Genomic DNA, 19,174 nt, shown 5'->3' on the forward strand with positions numbered 1-19,174 from the left:
CTCCCAAAGTGCCAGGATTACAGGCATAAGGACTGCACCTGGCCAAAAACAGAATTTTTAATAACAGAGTCCTTACCCAAATTGGCCCCTTTTGGCTTCAGAAACCACATTTCCATCAAATATGTTTTCTTTCTTTTTTATATTTAAGGTGTACAACATGATGTTTTGATATGCATAAACATAGTGAAATTCCTACAACAGTCAAGTAAATTAATATATCCATCTGTTTTCTCAAATCAGCTAGAAAAACTACCTCCCTTCCAAATATCACTTGTTTTCAGCTTCACTTTTGAATGATCTACTTTATCCGCACCAAGGAAAATATTTACGTCATTTCTTATATTGCATTTAAAATCTTACTACATTTATGCGTCTCAAATTTAACTTATTTTTGAATATATTCTCCAGCTATAGAATATATTCAAATATTTGTATCACAAAGGAGAAGCAGAGAATGCCACTAACTCCAATGCAGCCCCAAACTATAAATTCATTTTAATTAAAGATATTTGATAAGCACCCATGCTGAAAGAAATGAAGTGGGGAGGGAGGATGCCAAAAAAAGAGTTATCTTTTACAGAGAAATTAAAAATCACAGGAAGTATTCAATAACCCAAGAAGGCATGTAGAAACCTTCCATTTGAATCCTTTTATCTAAGCATGCTGGTTAGAATTTGGTACTTCTCATTTCTTCTGGTCAGTATGGTAACCGGAAATGATACAGGTATATAGACAATCTTCCCCCAACCCTGCCCCCCAAAAAAGAGAAAAAGAAAAGAAAAAAGAGAGAATAGTAAATGTGATATAACAAAAAGGGTTTGGTTTTTTTTTTAAGAAAAAAAAAACACAGGGAAACTGGGCACGTGTCTATAAGGCAATAATTTTCAACCTGGGCTGCACATTTAAAATCACCTAGGAGCTTTAAAAAATATATATCTGGGAGTGGGGTCCAGGTATCAGGGCACTGGAGCTTCCATTTGATTCCAGTGTACAGCCTGTCCTGAGAACCACTGTGACAAGGCCTTGAGAGAGTAGCCACTATGGCCACAGGCCCTGGTCAAGGAAACTCTCACAGAGCTCCCTGCATAAAACCAGCAGCCCAGAAGACACATATCTTGAAAACAGGCTCAGAGTATCTCTGCTCACTGGCCTGGGGACAAGAAACAAAAAGAAACATGAAGCTTGTAAGAGTGGGGTCCCAAAGATATTCCTCCATGGAGTGAGGAATTAACTTAAAAATGGCCCAGCATCCATGAAAGGCCCAGCAAAGAAAATATAGATGACTGCATAAGGTTGCCTTAAAGACCCTATGTAGGAATACTAGAGAAAATCACTGTTACTAAAGATGAACCTATTGTTGAAATAATAAAACACACAAGAAAAAAACAGTCATGAAAGAGCCTACATGAACAAGATATGGGAGAATCTTTCAGATTGATCTATTACGGATCTATTGATCTATTACAGATTTATTACAGATCAATCTGAAAAACTGCCTTATAGTAAATATTTTCAGTGAGATAAAGGAATAGAAACTATAGAAACTTATCTCATCAAAAAGAAGAAAAATTATAATATATAATATATAATTTTAATAATTAAAATTTAATTTTATTTCATTTAACTTTAATAATTAAAATTTAATTTTATTTCATTTAATGTTAATAATTAAAATTTAATTTTATTTCATTTAATGTTAATAATTAAAATTTAATTTAATTTAATTTTAATATATAATAAATTTTAATAACAATTTAATATATAATCCTATATATAAAAATATATAAAGTTCCTATAAAAATATATAGGAATTCTAAAACTAAAATATACAGGCGTTAAAATTTTAAAAATTCAATATATGGGTTCAACAAAACATAGAAGGAGAGAGGATTAGTGACTAGGAGGACAGACCTGAACACCTGACCCCAAATGTATGTCAGAGAAATAAGGAAATTGAAAATAGGATTCCAAAGTTGAGGGAAATAGAATAAAGAGGAAGAAGCTTTGTCTGATAGAAGTTCAAAAGGAAGAGAAGTAAAAGAATAGAGAAGTATTAGAAGAGGGTAATTGCAAAATTTTCCAGAAGTAAACAAAAATACACGTATTCACATAGGAAAAATAAAATCATACCTAATGCCAAAACTGAGGAATGTTTTTAAAAATCACACCTAAATACCAGTGAAATCAGTAAACATAAGCCAACAGGGAAACCCTAAAGTATGAGAAAGAAAGCTAAAAAGAGAGCTTAAAGAAACAATAGTTAGACATTCTAGACTCTATCAGCAACTACAGATGCCAGCTGGCAGTTGAATAATATTGTAAAAATGCTAAAAGAAAATAATTGCCAAACTAGAATATTACACCCAAGTAAATAATTATTCAAGAATGAAGACCAAATGGAGACATTTTCAAACTGAAAAGACCCAGTGAAATACATATCTGAAAATGAGTTTGTATCCAAAATATACAAAGAACTCTTAAAATGTGACATTAAGAAAACGACTCAATTTTTAAAATGAGTAAGAGATCTGAACAGACATCTCACCAAAGAAGATACACAGATGGCAAATAAGCATATGAAAAGATGTTTCACACCATATGCCATGAGGGACTTACAAAGTAAAATAAAAACAACCATGAGATACCCCTACACACCTATTAGAATGGCTAAAATCCAAAAGCCTGACACCACCAAATGCTGATGAGGGCACAGAGCACCAGGGACTTTCCCTCAAGGCTAGTGGGAATGCAAAATGGTACAGCCGCTTTGCAAGACAGTTTGGACAGTTTTTACAAACCTAAACATAGACTTTAAATATGATCCAGCAATCACACTCTTAGGTACTTACCCAACTGAGTTGAAAAGTTAGGTCCACACAAAAAACGAAACACAAATGTTTATAGCTTTATTCATAATAAAACGGACAACAGCCAAAACTGGAAAGAAGACATCCTTCAGTAAGTGAATTGGTAAACAAAGTGTGGTCCATCCATACAATGGAACACAATTATTCAGCAGTTGAAAAAAGTGAACTATCAAGCCACAAAAAGACAGAGAAACCTTAAGTGCATATTATTAGATGAAAGAAACCAGTCTGTAGGGTTCTATGATTCCAACCATATCACATTCTGGAAAAAGAAAACTATGAAGACAGTAAAAAGACCAGTGGCTGCCAGAGGCTTAGGAGAAGAGGAGGGATAAACAGGGGAAGCCCAGGAGGTTTTAGGGCAGTGACACTCTTCTGTGTGATACTGTAATGGTGGATACATGGCACTGTACATTTGTCAAAACTCATAGAACTGTTTAACATAAAGAGGGAACACTACTGTAAACTATGAACTTTGGTTAATGATAATGCATCAATGACTCATTAATTGTAACAAATGCACCACACTAAAGAGACATGTTAATAATAGGAGGAACTGGGCATGTTGGTTCATGCCTGTAATCCCAGCACTTTGGGAGGCCCATCACCTGAGGTCAGGAGTTCGAGACCAGCCTGGCCAACACAGTGAAATCCTGTCTCTACTAAAAATACAAAAAACTAGCCAGGCATGGTGGTGGGCACCTGTAATCCCAGGTACTCAGGAGACTGAAGCAGGAGAATCGCTTGAACCCGGGAGGCAGAGGTTGCAGTGAGACGAGGTTGCGCCATTGCACTCCAGCCTGGGCAACAAGAGCAAGACTCCGTCTCTAAATAAATAAATGGAGAAACTGTTGGGTCAGACAGTATATGAGAACACTGAGTACTACCTGCTCAATTTTTCTGTTGATTTAAAACTGTTCTATACAACATAGGCTAGTAATTAGCAAAAAACGAAAAGGAAAAGAAAAAAGACAGTGATTACTGTCCCTAGACACTGAACGGACTATTAAAAGATATGCGTCAGCAAAAAGGACACTCAACACGGAGGCATAAGCAAAGAAACAGGTTATTAAAATAGTAAATTAAAAGCAAAATAGCAATTAGTAAATTAAAGGATGACTACTTAATAGCAAAAGTGAATTTTGAAGGATTTCAAAACAAGGTGAAAATGCATATCCCCTTATATGGTATGTGAATTATATCTCAATAAAGCTGTTACCAAAAAAATATAAAATGTGCATGCCTCATAACCCAGTAGTCCTATTTCTAATTATCAATTTCCTCGATATGCACAGAGAAACCAGAATAAAAACAGCAGTATTATTTGTAATTTCAAAAACAAAGAATGCCCATCAAGAGTGGAATATTGTTCGTGGAAGTGTACATGGTAAAAGATAAAATGAGGATAGCATGAACAACAGCTCTGCCGAGGCAAAGATGTTCAGATTTACAAAAAGTATTTCAATGTGTCCAAAATGGAACTCTAAGTCTACACCCCTGTATGCAAAAATAGTTCTTGTCCCCGACCCCTGCCCCATCTCAGAAAATGGCACTGTCATTTACCCAGGTAAATGACAACATCAAAATTCCTAGAAGCCATCCCTGGTTTCTCTCCTTCTCTCACTCCATGTCCTCAATTCATCAGTATGACCTGTGGGTCCCTTGAATCTAACTGCTTCTCATCACTAACCCAAGTGTAAGCCCCTATCAGTTCTGGAGCTGATGTTACAACAAACTTCTTTTGCTATTTCTCCTCTTGCCTATTTACAGTTAAGAGATTCTTCTAAAACATAAGTGAGATCATGACATTGTCTTCTTCAAAACCCCCAGTCCTTCAAAGAGCTTCTCATTAGTTTTGGAACAAACCCCAGAGTCCTTATCCCGTGGTCTCTAAGGCCCTGTGGCCATGTGCTGGGGCCCCTGGCTGGCTCTCCCAGCCCTGACTTACTGGGGTGCATTTCCACTGCTCAGCTTGCTCCTTGGACTCACCAGCCTCTTCCCACCTCTGAGGCTGGGCACTGACTGGTCCCTCCATCTCAAAGCCTCTTTCTGAGACTTCACAAGCTTGGGAACTTCATTTCACTGTGTCAAATGTCTCAGCAGAGAAGACTTCCTCTATCTAAAATAGTACCCACTCCTATCACTCTCTGCCCCCTACCCTCCTCCTATTTACCTTCATTATATATTCATGTATCATCTGCCCTCCTCTAGATAGAATGCAGCCTCCTTGAGGGTGAAGGCTTTTAATGGCTGGTTCCCCATCATATCTCCAATATACTCAGCCCACAGAAGGCACTCTGAAAATACTTGTAGAATGAATCACTTATGCCATGATACTTTAAGGAGACTTCAGCTTTCCCTGTAATAGTTTCTGTTTTAAAATGATATGGTTTTAAAAGGCAAATGGTTACATTGGTTCATTCTGGGTGGTGGGTACACAGGGGTTTGCTGTCCTCTTGACTTTCTGGGTATTTGACATGAGACCAAAATTCCCTGCCAACTGGGGAGCCGACTGTGTGCTCCACAGGCTGAATCCGACCAGATCTGTGGCCCCGAACTTCTTGCAGAATGTGGCCTGGGTGTGGCAAGGGCAAAAGGTAAGAGCAAGGGAGCAGCCTCAGAGCTGGAGATCACAGGTTCATGGGGCTTTGCCTGCCACTTGCTATGAGGCTGGGCCAAGTCTTATAGAGGCCTGCACCCACTAGACCTGAGCTGCACCTCCACCATGCCAGGCTCAATGCAATCAGGCGGGAAAGGGAGCGCTGTTCCTTTTTCTGGAGCCTTACAGGGCATGAAGGGGATGCTCAGGGAGGAGAAGCAGCTGATCTCCAGACAACTTCAAATCTCCAACAGGCCCCACAACGAGTCACAACTCACCTTCTGCACTTTCACTAGAAGGTCCCTCAGGCTTCTTCCAGTTCCAAAGTGCTAGGGCTCATTGTTTCTAATTATCTTGAATTCATTCTCTTCCCACAGTTGAAGGAAAATCAAAACAACCGAAAGTGACTTGCTTTAGAACTGTGGAGTTTGCAAAGCACTTTGTTATGTGTCAACTCCTGTAGGCCTGCAACAAGTCCATAACCCCAGTTCACAGTTGAGAAAACTGAGGCTGGTGGGGGCGGTTAAAGGGCTGGCCTAAGAGCATGGGGTCTGTTTGAAAAGCAGCGAATTAAATCTCTAGCATACCAGCACTAATGCTCCAAGGGCCTCTTTTCCCCAGATGGGTGTAGCTGGTCCTTCTCAAATGTGACAATGACGACAGTGGGCTGAGAAAACCATGCACACCCTGCAATTCCTGCCACGGTGAATTCCAAGATTTAGGCATCCAGGCTGAGTCTGCAGGCCAGCTCCAGGGCTGCCACATGGCCCCACTCCTTCCCCCAGTTCCTAACCAGCTAAAGATGACATGTCCGGTCTCATCTCACACTGACCACTCTGGCCCGCCCCTTTGCCCCACACAACCTTGGCCTTTCCTTTGCTGGAACATTCTTCCCACCCTAAGCCTCATCACCGGTGCTCAGAGCATCATCTGCTTCTCTTTGGGATCACTTTTTACACTTGGATTTTCTATGTATTTGTGTCTCTGACCTCTGCTAGACTATAAGCTCCATGGGGGAGGGGCCAATCTGACTTTGGTCACCATTCTACAGCCAAGTACTCAGTCCAGGATGGTGTACATGAGGCTGTGAGGCCTGCAATTGCTTGGGTCCATTACTGAACACAAGAGACGAGTGTGGCGCTGTTGGGAGGTCCCACCCTGTTGTCACTGCAGATGTCGCCCCCAACACAAAGAGCACATCCAAGAACTGGAGGTCCAGGAGGCATGGTCCTGGTAACAGCAATTTGCCAGAATCCTGTCCTACTTCTGGCCTTCTGATACGTCCTAAGTGCTGACAAATTTTCTTTATCATCCAAGTCTGCTTGAGATGAGTTTTCTGTCCTTCATGAAAGAAAGACTCCTGACAGATGTACCTCGCTGGCAAGACCGTAGGCTCCCTCATGTCATGACCTGTACACCTCTGCCCTGCTTCAACTAAGTGCTGGGCACCAAATAGCTATTTAGTAAGCATCTTCTACCTACCTAGCTCTCACTTACTATGCATTTGTTCACTCATTCATTCATTCAACAAATATCTACTCAGCACCTACTACATAGTTTTCTTGGGAAAACTACCCAAGTGCAGAAAATTGAACAAGCCAGATGGGGTCCTTGCTTGTACACAACCTAACATTACAGAAACAGACACACAACACAAGTAAATCTACAAAATAGCTGAGGATAGTGGTAGGGTCTGTGCAGATAACGAAACAGGAAATGTAATAAAGAATGAACGAGGAGGGAGTGATATTTAGCGAAGTGGTCTCCTTTTTATGGAAGACCTCTGGTTGAAAATGACAAAGAGGAGCCAGCTAAGTTAAGATCATAGAGGACATTCCAGATGACGGGGGGAAGGCAAGGGCAAAGGCTTTGAGGCAGAACAAGAGAGATGTGTGTGCTAGGGAGGAGAAAGGCAGAGTGTCTTTAGATCTATGACCCATCATGGGAAATGGGGCTTGATGAGGCCAGAAAAGTGGGCAAGGACTTGATTCTTTAAGAATTTCTCTGACAATAGTACAGATGTATTCAGGGGTTGAACCTTCATCTCCTGGGGCATCGCCATTCTTTGGGCCTGTCCTACGTGGACACTACGTATGTCAACTAAGGAGAGAGGACCCAGGGCGCTAAGTCCCCACTCTAGCCCCATTTTGTCTCCTAACACAGGCCTCAACCATTCTGGTCTTTAATTCTGTTATCCATCCATCAAGTAAGGACTTGATGATGAACTTGGTGATCACAAAAGACTCTTTCAACATCAGGATTCTATAATTATCTTCCTTTTTTAAAAGAATGAGATAAATCAATACAAAACATGAGCCTAGCACTAGAGGAGTGCTATCATTTAAGGATTACATTTTCAAAGCGTACATCTGAAGTGCAACAGGGCAAAGCTGGCCCCTCCAAGTCACACTCGAGCACAAAGTCTCTGGTCCAGACGGCTGTTTTGCTCATGTCTCAGAATTCTAGGATAGTGAAACGCAGCCAGATACTTTTCTGGGTACAGTTCATGAGTCCCACCACCCAAAAAGCAGGTGCCATGGATTTGAAGCTTCCTGGTGTCCTCAGGACCCCTGGCCATAGCTCCCTCCTGAGCCCTGGTGGTGGCCTGGTCCCATTGCTAGCCCCCTGCACAGGGCAGCGGAAGGAGATAATCACTGGTAAAAAGGGACCAGGCTCCCACCTTACTAGCTCCACTGTTTCTGGGGAATGCACCAGGCTTGGCCCGCCTGGGGTCCTTGGAGTTCTGCCACAATGCTCTTCAGCAGGTGCTCAGAATGGCCAGTTCCCCCTTGTCATTTAGGTCCCAGCTCAAAGTCACCTCCTCAGAGAGGCACATTCTGATTTCCACGTGTAAAAGGGTCCCCTTCTCCCCTCTGTTCCCTTCTGTATCATATTGGTCAGTTTTCTTCTTCAGAGTACTGACTGCTATCAAAACACGTGCATTTTAATTCATATGCCTCCTGTACTAGACTATAAGTTTCGTGAGTTCATCCTGTCCATGCCAATGTCCCTAGGACCCTAGCACAATGTCCAGTCCACGAAAGTTGGCTCAGTAGACATTTGTTGATGGACCGAAGGAAGAAGTCATCCAAAGAATCTTGACAAAGCTCCGAAGAGCACATGGCAGGTCAGAGCCAGAAAGTTCCTGGGGAGATCATCCACCATAGCACAGCAGTTTTCACCCAAGACAGCACATCTGGCGTAAGAGTGGGGGTGGATGTATCAGAATATCATACACCTCCCCCACGAGACACTGATGCACAAAATGTGTGAGGTTGCCAGGTTAGAACCACTGGTATGGTCCAAACACTCTGCTTTACCAGAGAGGAACAGAAGGGTCTAGCAAAAAACGTATAATGGGACATTCAGAGACTCTAACTCAGGTGTCTGATGCATACAAAGAATATCTCAAGTCCAATGCCAGCCTTCCAGGAGTTTAAACACTTCAGCCAGTAGAGTTCCTTTACTCCTGGGAGCTGCTGGGGAGGCAAATCTGTCAATTCCAGCATCCCAGGCTCAGTTTCAAGAGGAAAAGCAGGTGAAATGGTGCCAGGCCCAGAGTCAGGGCTTACCAAGCAAAACACGCCACAGTCACCTGGATGGGTGGAGGAGGTACACGTCTGAAAAGGGGCTGGGAATGCAGTCATGAGGCTGAGTAAGGGCAGAGGAGCAGAAATGGGCAGGAGGGAGGGCAAAAGAGGCTTTGTCGTCATTCCATGTTGTAAAAGCCAGCTTAGAGGACACAGACAACAATAGGCCTCTTTTTTTTTTTTTTTTTTTTTTTTTTTACAATTACCAAATATAAAACCCTGAGTAAAAATTTTCTATTTTAGGGTTTTCCAAACAACATTTGACTTTGTGAGTGTTTTACATCTAGGGTAAATATTTGCCGGGCATTTCCAGCCCACGTCAGAGTGCTAATCTAAAAACCTGTTTTGTTCTGCTCTTAATAGGAAAATTCTACATTCAACGCAGGGTACTCACTCTGCCTAGGAACTCACAAGTACTCACCTTCCCTCAGTCTCCAAGGCTCGCCCACAATACGAGCAGCAAGCCGAATCCGCATGAGAGCCATTTCTGAGAGGCTGTTTCTATCTACCTCGACTGCACTTTCTCTTAATGAAGCTACCCTTCACGTGGTAGGAACAGGTAGGAACTTAATGAAGTTACCCTTCAGGTGGTAGGAACAGGGCACATGGAGGAACAGGTCAATTGCCGCCCTCACACTCAGGTGCATCTGCCTCAGCTGGCAAGGCTGCAGGTGATACCAAGTGAGGTATACAGCTGGCGCCTACTGCATGGTGGGGCTGCTTTGTCTTACAGGCAAACCAGGCTATCAATGGTCATGCATCTCAGGGTGGCATGTGCAAAGATACTGAGCAGTCTCCAGAGAGCAGCCACGAAGTCAGAAACGCGCACCCTCACCACTTCCGCCCTGGAAAGCTGGAAGGACCAGCACACGGACTACCTGCCCTTCCCAGGTGCAGTGCAATGTCTCGAGGCCAGTAAACAGATTCTCGTCTTTAACTAAGAACTTCTATCACTGTGACTGGGGGATAGGCTTCAACATGCTGTCTCATAACAAAGATCCAGTCCTTACAATGACACGGCACAGCAGATACTGTCTACATTTGACAAATCAGGAAACTGAGGCTTAAAGGTATTAAACAACCTGCCTAAGTTATGAAAGGATGAAGTCAGGATGCAAACTTAGTCTGACTCCAAATCTACATCCTTTCTGCTATAGCACTGCACCCCCCGGCCAATATAAAAACATCTCCCTAAGGTTCTAATGTGCCTCTTCCTCAGTCCACAAGATTAAAAGAGAAGGCAAGTTCAATACAGACTATGTTTGAGTTATGGCCAGGATATCTAGATGGGACTACCCAGCACGCAGCTGGATGGACCTATTCTAAAGGAGGGCTTCGCAAAAATCAGAGTTCATCCACCAATTCCCCAGGGGCCTTTGCCACATAGGAAATACCACAGCAAGAGATGCCACAGAAACTGCAGAACTGGAGGTCATGGACACCTAAGTGGAAGCACAGAGCGCCAGGATACCTGGAGGGCTCTGCAGTGAGTCCAGTCAGCCAGGGCAGGCACCGGACAGAAACCAGGGTCAAGACCAGTTGCGGTGGCTCATGCCTGTAAACCCAGCACTTTAGGAAGCCAAGATGGGTGAATCATTTGAAGTCAGGAGTTCAAAACCAGCCTGACCAACATGGTGAAATCCCATCTCTACTAAAGATAAAAAAATTAGCCAGGTGTTGGGGTGCATGCCTGTAGTCCCAGCTACTGGGGAGGCTGAGGCAGGAGAATCGTGTGAACCTGGGAGGCTGAGGTTGCAGTGAGCCAAGATCGCACCACTGCACTGCAGCCTGGGTGAGAGAGTGAGACTCTCTCTCACAAGAGAAAAAAAAAATAAGAAAGAAACCAGGGTCAAGGACAGGGAGGCATCCAGGAAAACTTCTGGCCAAGTCCAGGGCCTTCTTCCTAAGCCTCTCTAAAATAAAAAGCATGTAATTTTTTTTCTGTTCAAATACAAAGGGTGCTTAGGCCAGAGGTAGCTGAGGATCCATCTTGCATCTAGCTACTTTTGTTCTTGACAATCAAAAAGGCAATAAGCCGGGGTAGCATGCAAAGGGCTAGGCCTTTGCAGCTGGACAAACTTGGCTTGAATTCAGGATTTGCCACCAACTAGCTATGTGGCCTTAGGCAGGTCACTGGACTTCTATGAGTTTTGGTTTCCTCTTATGCAAAATGTGAATAATGCCCCTCACGCATACTCAAGGCTAACACTCAGGCTTTTATGAAGATTAAATGAAATAGCCTATGAGACCGGGTGCAATAGCTCATGCCTGTAATCCCAGTACTTTGGGAGGCCGAGGCAGGCAGATCACCTGAGGTCAGGAGTTTGAGACCAGCCTGGCCAAAATGGTGAAACCCCGTCTCTACTAAAAATAAAAAAAATTAGCTAGGTGTGGTGGCAGGTGCCTGTAATCCCAGCTACTCAGGAGGCTGAGGCAGGATAATTTCGTGAACCTGGGAGGCAGAGGCTGCAGTGAGCCAAGATCGTGCCACTGCATTCCAGCCTGAGCAACAAAGAGAGCCTCTGTCAAAAAAAAAAAAAAAAGAAAGAAAGAAAGAAAAGAAAAGAAAAAAGAAATAGCCTATGAAAGCATCTCCTGGTTAGACATGGTGGCTTATGCCTATAATCCCAACACTTTGAGAGGCCAAGGCAGGAGGATTGCTTGAAACAGAAGTTCGAGACCATCCTAAGCAGCAGAGTGAGACCCTGACTCTATTAAAAAAAAAAAGAAGAAGAAAAAAAGAAAGAAAGCATCTCCTGCCCTACTGATGGGAGGCCAGCAGACATTTCACAATTAATGTCCTTTGACAACTGCCCTTTGGCAACCAGAGCCAGCTTTCACTCTGACCTCAGGGCTGGGACTTAAGTCAGAGGCATCCCAAAAAATGCTCCTGGGAACCAGTATAGCTAAATCTTCAAGACTAAAGTGGACGTCCACGGACATCTTGATCCTTGCTGGCAATGCCTATTTTCCTAAAGAGAAACCTTGTCACAGGAAGAATATCTCAGGGCCAGATCCTCAGAAAACCGCCACATGACCAACCAGCTAGTATTCAAAAAAACAGCTGCCACCAAACCCCAAAGGAAGTCGTTTCCAGGCAATGCCCTTCCACAAAAGGATTCTAGACAGATCTCAAACCCAGACAAAGAAGACTGAGATAAATGTGTGGTGCTCAAGAATTCTGACCCTCACCTGACCCCACGCACAAGGCAGTTGCAGTAAGTTCACTTTCTCTACAGACTGACAAAGCCACCAACAGCTGTGGAATGTCAAAAACAAGGCTGCCTGGGTCTAAAGTTACCCCCCTCCACCATGAGAGGAAAGAAAACACATTTCTGGGCTTCGACTTCTTTATATTTTGCTTATGAGGAACAAATGTCGACAAGATATAGGATATGCTGCTCTGTTTGCCACCAAAATGCATGGAACATAATTTTATGTGAAGCTGCACCCGCTTAATTGTGATGCATTAAGTATATGTTCATTGTTTCTGAAACTGAGTAGAAATGAATAATTTATTTCAGACAAAGGAAACTCTTGAATATGAAATGCCTCATCTTTTAAAATTACAATTTGGAAAGCAAGAAGGAAAAAATACCCATAGCCAGTGAACCTTATACTGCTAATAGAAAACAATGCTTCAACTGTTTCTACTTTGTTTGCAAACATTGCATTTTTTTAAACATTCTTGAGAATCATCAGGAAAAAAAAAAACAAAAAAAAAAACACTAGGTTTCCACCATGTTCACATCCACTCAACACAGGACTAGCATATTCAGTATTAATTTTCTCTGCTGGCTGGGTACACGCCCTTTCCTTTTCCACTGATGTGTTAGCTCACCTGGAATCCACTCCCCACATCCCCACATTCCGGTCTCTGCCATCCCCTTCCAGAACTTTCCTTCCTGCATCCTAGTTCTCTTCCTCTCTCCTTCTCCCCTTCTTTACATGGCATTGCACTCTGCACTTTCTGGCCCACCACCATCTCCCCAGCAGCTAGCACATTCCCTGGCACACAGTCAGTTCGCAAAAAACCTGAGTTACTGCTTAAGTGTAGAGTAGAAAATCAGTGTTTTGGACTGACTGGTAATTGGAATTTCGGGTATGGCTATTGTTTTTCTTTTCAGAGCAGAAGACATCTGCGTGCACTCAAATCATCTACTATTCCTGTTTCATGCTAATATATTGAGGGAGGAGGAGAAAGGGAGTGAGAATGCATAGGAAAGGAAGGCGCTGGCAGTCATCCACCTACCCACCGGTTTCCTGCACAGCTCAGGAGGGCGGAAAAACAAATGAAACATTCCGTAAGTGTTACTTGTAGCAACCTTATGAACTGGATACTATTATTAGCCCCATTTACACATACAGGACCTAGAACGTTGCAAGTAACTATTTACCTGTGGTCTCACAGCTACTAAGTGCTGGAACATGGAATTCAAACCCAAGTGTGCTCAACTCCAAGGTTTTTGCTCCTTGCCACCGTGCTACTCTGCAGCACATATATTTTTTGGGATCACCATGACCTCATCCCCTGCCCCTCCCCGTTGCCAGCCCTATCTCTGGGATGAATACAGAGGGTCCACCCGGTAGGTCCTGCCCTGGGAACATGTTGCCCTTCCTCCCAGGGATCACCAGCAGCTAAAAAGGGCAGCACCACCTCTTCCCACCCCAGCCCCATTGATGTCATAAAAACAATGTCATAACATAGCATGGGTGCAGGGTAGGACACACAGAGAGGGCTCAGTAGCTTCTTAGGAGCCAGCTCTGTGAGCTGCATAGGCACTCCCAGCCCTCCCTCCCTTCCTCCCCATCCTCTCCCCTCAAGCAGGTGCTCCCTGGGGTGAGTGGGCACTGCTTTCAATTAACACAACTCCCTTCATTTAGAACACTTGAGTTTTCATTGAGACATTCTCTTACGAAATGTTCTGAATCGAGTTGAGAATTTGGCACAGAAAACAGCTAGGCAAGGCAGAAGACTGGGGAGTCAGAGGAAGAAAACAGTAAATACAAAATAAACGAATAAATAAGCCCATACCTCAAGTCCTCCAAATGGGTGCTACCCAGCACGGTTCCAGAGGTCTGAGAAAGGCTGGACAGCACCATCCCTCCCAGGCAGGAGGACAACACTGCCTAGGGAGCCAGGCACCCACACCTGAGCCACTGCTCCCAAGCGAGAGAGCAGAAGTCCACCCTGAGCCCAGGACAAAAGGCAGTGCTGGGGTTGGGGCTGGGACCCTGCAGAAAAGCAGATGGGAGCCATCCTCTCAGGGACCCATGCTGTGCACATCCCCACTGTCCACCAGGGGAGGCCTCCTAACACCAGCCATGCCACTCAGCATCCACAGGGTCCCAATGAACCGTTGTCAGAGACCACCTTTCTCCTACCACAAGCCAAAATGCCTCCTAGCAGCCGAGGCCCTTCAGGATGACCCAGCTTCCTGGGTTGATTCCTGCTGGTCCCTGTCTGCTCTGCTGTCTTTCTGCTTACCTGTACCCCCCACCCCGCCCCCACCACACCTTCCCAGGACCACCCAGGGAGATGCAGCCAGCCTGCCACAGAGACTCCTGCCCCTCTATCCTCCCTGCCCTCGGCACCTAAATGCTGGGCTCTGTGCACTTGGCCTTTGCCTTCCGAGCTTGTGCATGCTTTCTCCTCAAGAAGGTGCAACTGGAAGGGAGGAGCTTGAACTTGACCCACACTTGCTCTTGCTCCATTTCCACCTGGAGCTGAGGCTAATAGCACAGTGCTCCTGGGCTCATTTTTTGTTTTCCCAGAAGGTGCCTTCTATGATGAGAGGTTACTCACCCACAGCAGGTCTTATGTCCTTCTCTGGTCGAGAAGCATCCAGAGCCCCTGTGTGTGCTTTTATGACACAAAACTATATTAAGTTGAACTGTCTGAAATTGTTGCTATTCTACCATGTTGACCTACTAAAATGGCAATTTCATGCGATTCAATCTAAAAATTTCAGCAATGCTGAGACAAATTAGCCATCTTCCTTTCCCATCTTCGATGACAAAGGTCAAGCCCCTGAGTGTGACAAACCTGCCTCTCTGCTCAGTTCTTCTCACACCACTCCTCATACCTGCTGCTCCAGCCACGGCAAACCCTGGACACACTGTGCCTTTGCCCAGGCTGTTGCCTCTGCCTGGAATGCTCTCCCCATTCAGCTCTACTCACCAAACTCCTATCCATTCCACAAAAGCCAGCTTAAAAGTCCCCTTTTGCAAGCCTTCTCTGACCGGCAACACCATCCAGTCCGTTATTCCCACCATAGGGCCGTATGTGAGCTTTCTATGGGTTCTACTCATTCATCATAATTTATCTTGTTTATATCTATCTCTAAAGCAAAAAAGGGAATTCTTAGAGGACAATTCCTATTTACCTCTGAATCATCTGGGCCTCCCACTGTGCTCATAGTAAGTTCTTAATAAATATCTGATGAATGAATTTGGCAGAAATGGAATTCTATCATACTGAAAAACTGAAAACTGATAGAGACTCTAAAAACTTACCTCTTCTTCTCTTCATTCTAAAATAAGTATAAATGTAACATATATAATATATAATAATAAAATAATATCTAATATATTAATTAATAAAATAAAATATATTATATTAATAAAATAAATATAAAATTAATAAAATATATAATATATAATGTATATATGTAATATATACGTAACATATATAATGTAATATATATATTATATGCATCATATATCCACATATGTATCACTCAGTAAAAAATATCTAATAATCCTTTATGCAGTTCGTGCACTTCACTTTCATGGGATATTTTCATGGGCTATTTCTCCCATGCATGTTACATACATGCAAATGGGTGCTACTGCATGAGTTCTGAAGCCAGCCTTCCTGGATGAGAATGCTGGCTCTACCACTTATTAAGTATGTGCCCCCAAGACAAGTTTCTCACTTGAGCCCCAGTTCCCTTATCCACCAACCAAATGGGGCTAAGAGTACCTCTACTGAACAAGGCTTAAGCAAGTTATGACATATAAAACACCTAGCTCGCTGCAACTCACAGCTGCTGTAATTATTATTTTTACTTCTCTTTAAGTATCATGGGGAATGCAACCATTTCGAATTGGGAGTATGTTCAGCCTGATCACTTCTTTTGCCATTCAAATGCCACTTGCCATTCCCAAGCTAAGAAGAATATATATAGTGGTTTCATTGAGAACTCTCTGGAATTCAGGGATCTCCTGGTATCTTCCTCATCAATTGTTTTATTCAAAACGCGTAGTAACAGAAATTAATGAAACATTTCATAAACATGCGCTTTAAGAAAACTGCTGGCCTTCTCCTACAAAGAATGCAATCAATACTTATTTTCATACATTATTAACTGTACACAAAACGATCATGTGCAAAGGACAACAGAAATCACAGTTGGCATGGTGCTTCCTACACAGTTCACAGGGACCTAGAGGAAAGTGGCACCAGCATGGTGGAAGACAAATGAATAGCACATTAGGGCACCTTAAAGTGGGACTCAACTATGTATTCCTTTTTTTTTTTTTTTAACATTGTGTAATGCTATTTATACGACAACATGACAAAAAATGGCCCTAGGCATTCTGCTCCACTTTAGAAGCCTTCCATCTCACACTGAAATGAAAAAAGATACAATCCAGAAATTGCTTCTTTGGTTAATATTTCTGCAGTTCTGCAGGAATGGTTTTAATAGTACGCGTGTTCTGGATTTTGGTTGTCAATTAAGAACCCATCAGACGGCAGGCCCAAATATTAAAATAATAGGTAGTGGTGTATATTGCAACTTTAAAGGCCTTTTGTCAAACAGTGTTTTAGGGTGGAAGAACAAGGAGAAAGCTGGGAATTAAAGAGGGAGAAAAGGGAGTAGATAGCTCCTTCTAAATAAAGGATCCTGGTCTGTGCTTAAAATTTCATCACTAACAGTAGAAAGAACACAGGTTTTGGAGTCACAGGAACAAGAAGTGAATCTAAGCTCTTCCAGGTATCAGCTGTGTGGCCTTAAGAAAGTTACTCAACCTCTCTGATCCCAGCTTTTCTCCTCAGAAATGAGAGGGCACAATACATACCTTTTAGCATGGTGGGGGACCAGAAGAACGTAAGTCTGTGAAAAGGCAGCTTAGTGCAGGACACACGGCAGGGGAAGGGGACACAAGGTAGGGGCTTCCCCAGCGGGACTCCTCTTTGCTCACTCACCTCCCCTTTAAAGAGACTGAGGATTCAATGAGGAGAATACACAGTTCTGGGATAGGCAGAGTTCCAAAGGGAACTGCAGTTTGACCAAAAATAGGTCACTTGACCAAATGATTAAAAGTCTGTCATATGCTAATGCGTGGATGGGGCGGACCCTTGGCTAATTTAGTAGGAGTAAATTGCAATTGATTTTCGAAGAAATTGCTTGTTCTCTTGCCTTTCCTCAGCTGTGTCACACTCGCACACACAGCTGCCTTTGTCACAGCCAGGACCAACTGAAACACGTGTCAAGGAAGATCTTTTTGAGGCAAAATATTTTATCATATCCACACTTAACACACTCTATAAAAATATGCACATGTGAGCAGGCAGATATACAAGTGTATGTATGCCTATGTGTCTGTATACGTGTTTATAAAGATGTTTTTGAGAGCTTGTATTTAGAAACAATTCTGCCACCATGGCTGCATAGTTCTATATGTTTTGAAAATCCTCCTGTGGCTGGAGAGCTATCCTGAGTCATTTTTATTTTTACAACAGCCTACTATTTGAAGAAAGATCGTAAAAGAGTATACCTCTAAAATCTCTCCATATACCCCACAGCCCTGTCTATGTAAATCCTGGATATGAAAAGAAAATGGTTAAAAGATTACAGAAGATAAAAAATCATAATAATAAAGGTTAACAATAGCTGCTTTCACCCCTAATTTCTGATATGGCGATAGACCCTCTTAGAACATTAATTAGAATGGAAAGAGAGATGAAAGAAATGCCCAGGAGACATAATAAATTAGCCTCTTATGCAAATTACTCATTCATTTTCATCACTGACCCAGCTAGTTGAGTCTCTAAATTACAGGAAGTGGTAAGCTCCTTTAACAAAAAACTCTGAATGAAAGATTATCTTTAAAAAAAATCTGAGGGCTTAACGCAACAAATAATTTCTCACTTTTCCTTACAGACAACCCTGAAGGGTGCCAAGAAATATGAAAATTAACATTCCAGCCACTAGTTCTTGTTGCCAGAGACCTATTAATTAACCCTTGTTCCAAAACAATGAACAACTACCTCCTTAACTAAAGTCAATGGCTGTGGCTCTCATGCTAAAAGAAACAAAGAAAATAAAGTGTAGTATCCTAAGGGGGGAGCACAGATTTGAACAGGTGAAAGACAACTGAACTGAGATGGGGAAATGCCAAGATATGGAGGGTTTCAAATACCCATTTACAAGCAAACACCTAATTTTACTTGTCATCACTGTCCTAGACAATTTATGTTGCATTGTCCTATCAATTTATGGAATTCTGCTTTCTTATCAGTCAAATACGGGGACGGGACTAGAACGACCTCCAAACATCCTACTGCATCTACAAATCCAGTGGTTTTATTTATCCCTTCGTGAAACAAATGCCGCACTTCCGATTATTTAATTTATTGAAATATAATCTTGTAGCATGTATTTGTCTACTGAGCTCACTCCTAGCTTCATTTTCTCTTTCCTACTCTCATTTTCTCTTTTCCCCTGTCTTCTGCATTTACTTATTTTCTTTTGTACTTTATCTTCTTCCATGTATTCAAATAAGATGCCTTAAATACATTCTAGTTCAAAGTAAGGTATACATTGAATAAATCATACTTTATAAAGGTTATGAACATGAAAGACATATGCCAAGATCACAAGTTTCCTTGGCATGAATAAAATGCTAGAAAGAAAAATAGTTGCTGAATAACTATGTAAGATTCAATATACGGGCCCTTCAAAAAGGAAGGAAAATATTAAAAGTCATGGTAAAAACAGCAATTACTTTTGCACCAGCCTAATATGTTAAAGATCACTCTAGGCCACTGCCCTCAAATTACAAAAGGAGCAGATGACTCTCAGGACCTGCAGACACTGGCCCAAGGTCAC

At 42.6% G+C, this 19,174-nt stretch overlaps 1 protein-coding gene across 12 annotated transcripts in view; it reads right to left on the reverse strand.

Moving 5' to 3' along the window:
- GFRA1 (GDNF family receptor alpha 1) overlaps window positions 1-19,174 on the reverse strand; it is a 217,781-nt gene that overhangs the window by 185,812 nt on the left and 12,795 nt on the right. The window contains exon 1 of one of the 12 annotated variants that reach the window (NM_001348099.3): window positions 12,898-13,059. The exons of the other annotated variants lie outside the window; for them this stretch is intronic. Coding sequence (NP_001335028.1) covers window positions 12,898-12,967 — 70 coding nt within the window. The 5' untranslated portion in view covers window positions 12,968-13,059. Of the gene's footprint in view, window positions 1-12,897; window positions 13,060-19,174 lie in introns of those variants that run through there. 12 annotated transcript variants of the gene reach the window in all.

This window comes from Homo sapiens, chromosome 10, assembly GCF_000001405.40.
Source record: "Homo sapiens chromosome 10, GRCh38.p14 Primary Assembly".
NCBI lineage: Eukaryota > Metazoa > Chordata > Mammalia > Primates > Hominidae > Homo > Homo sapiens.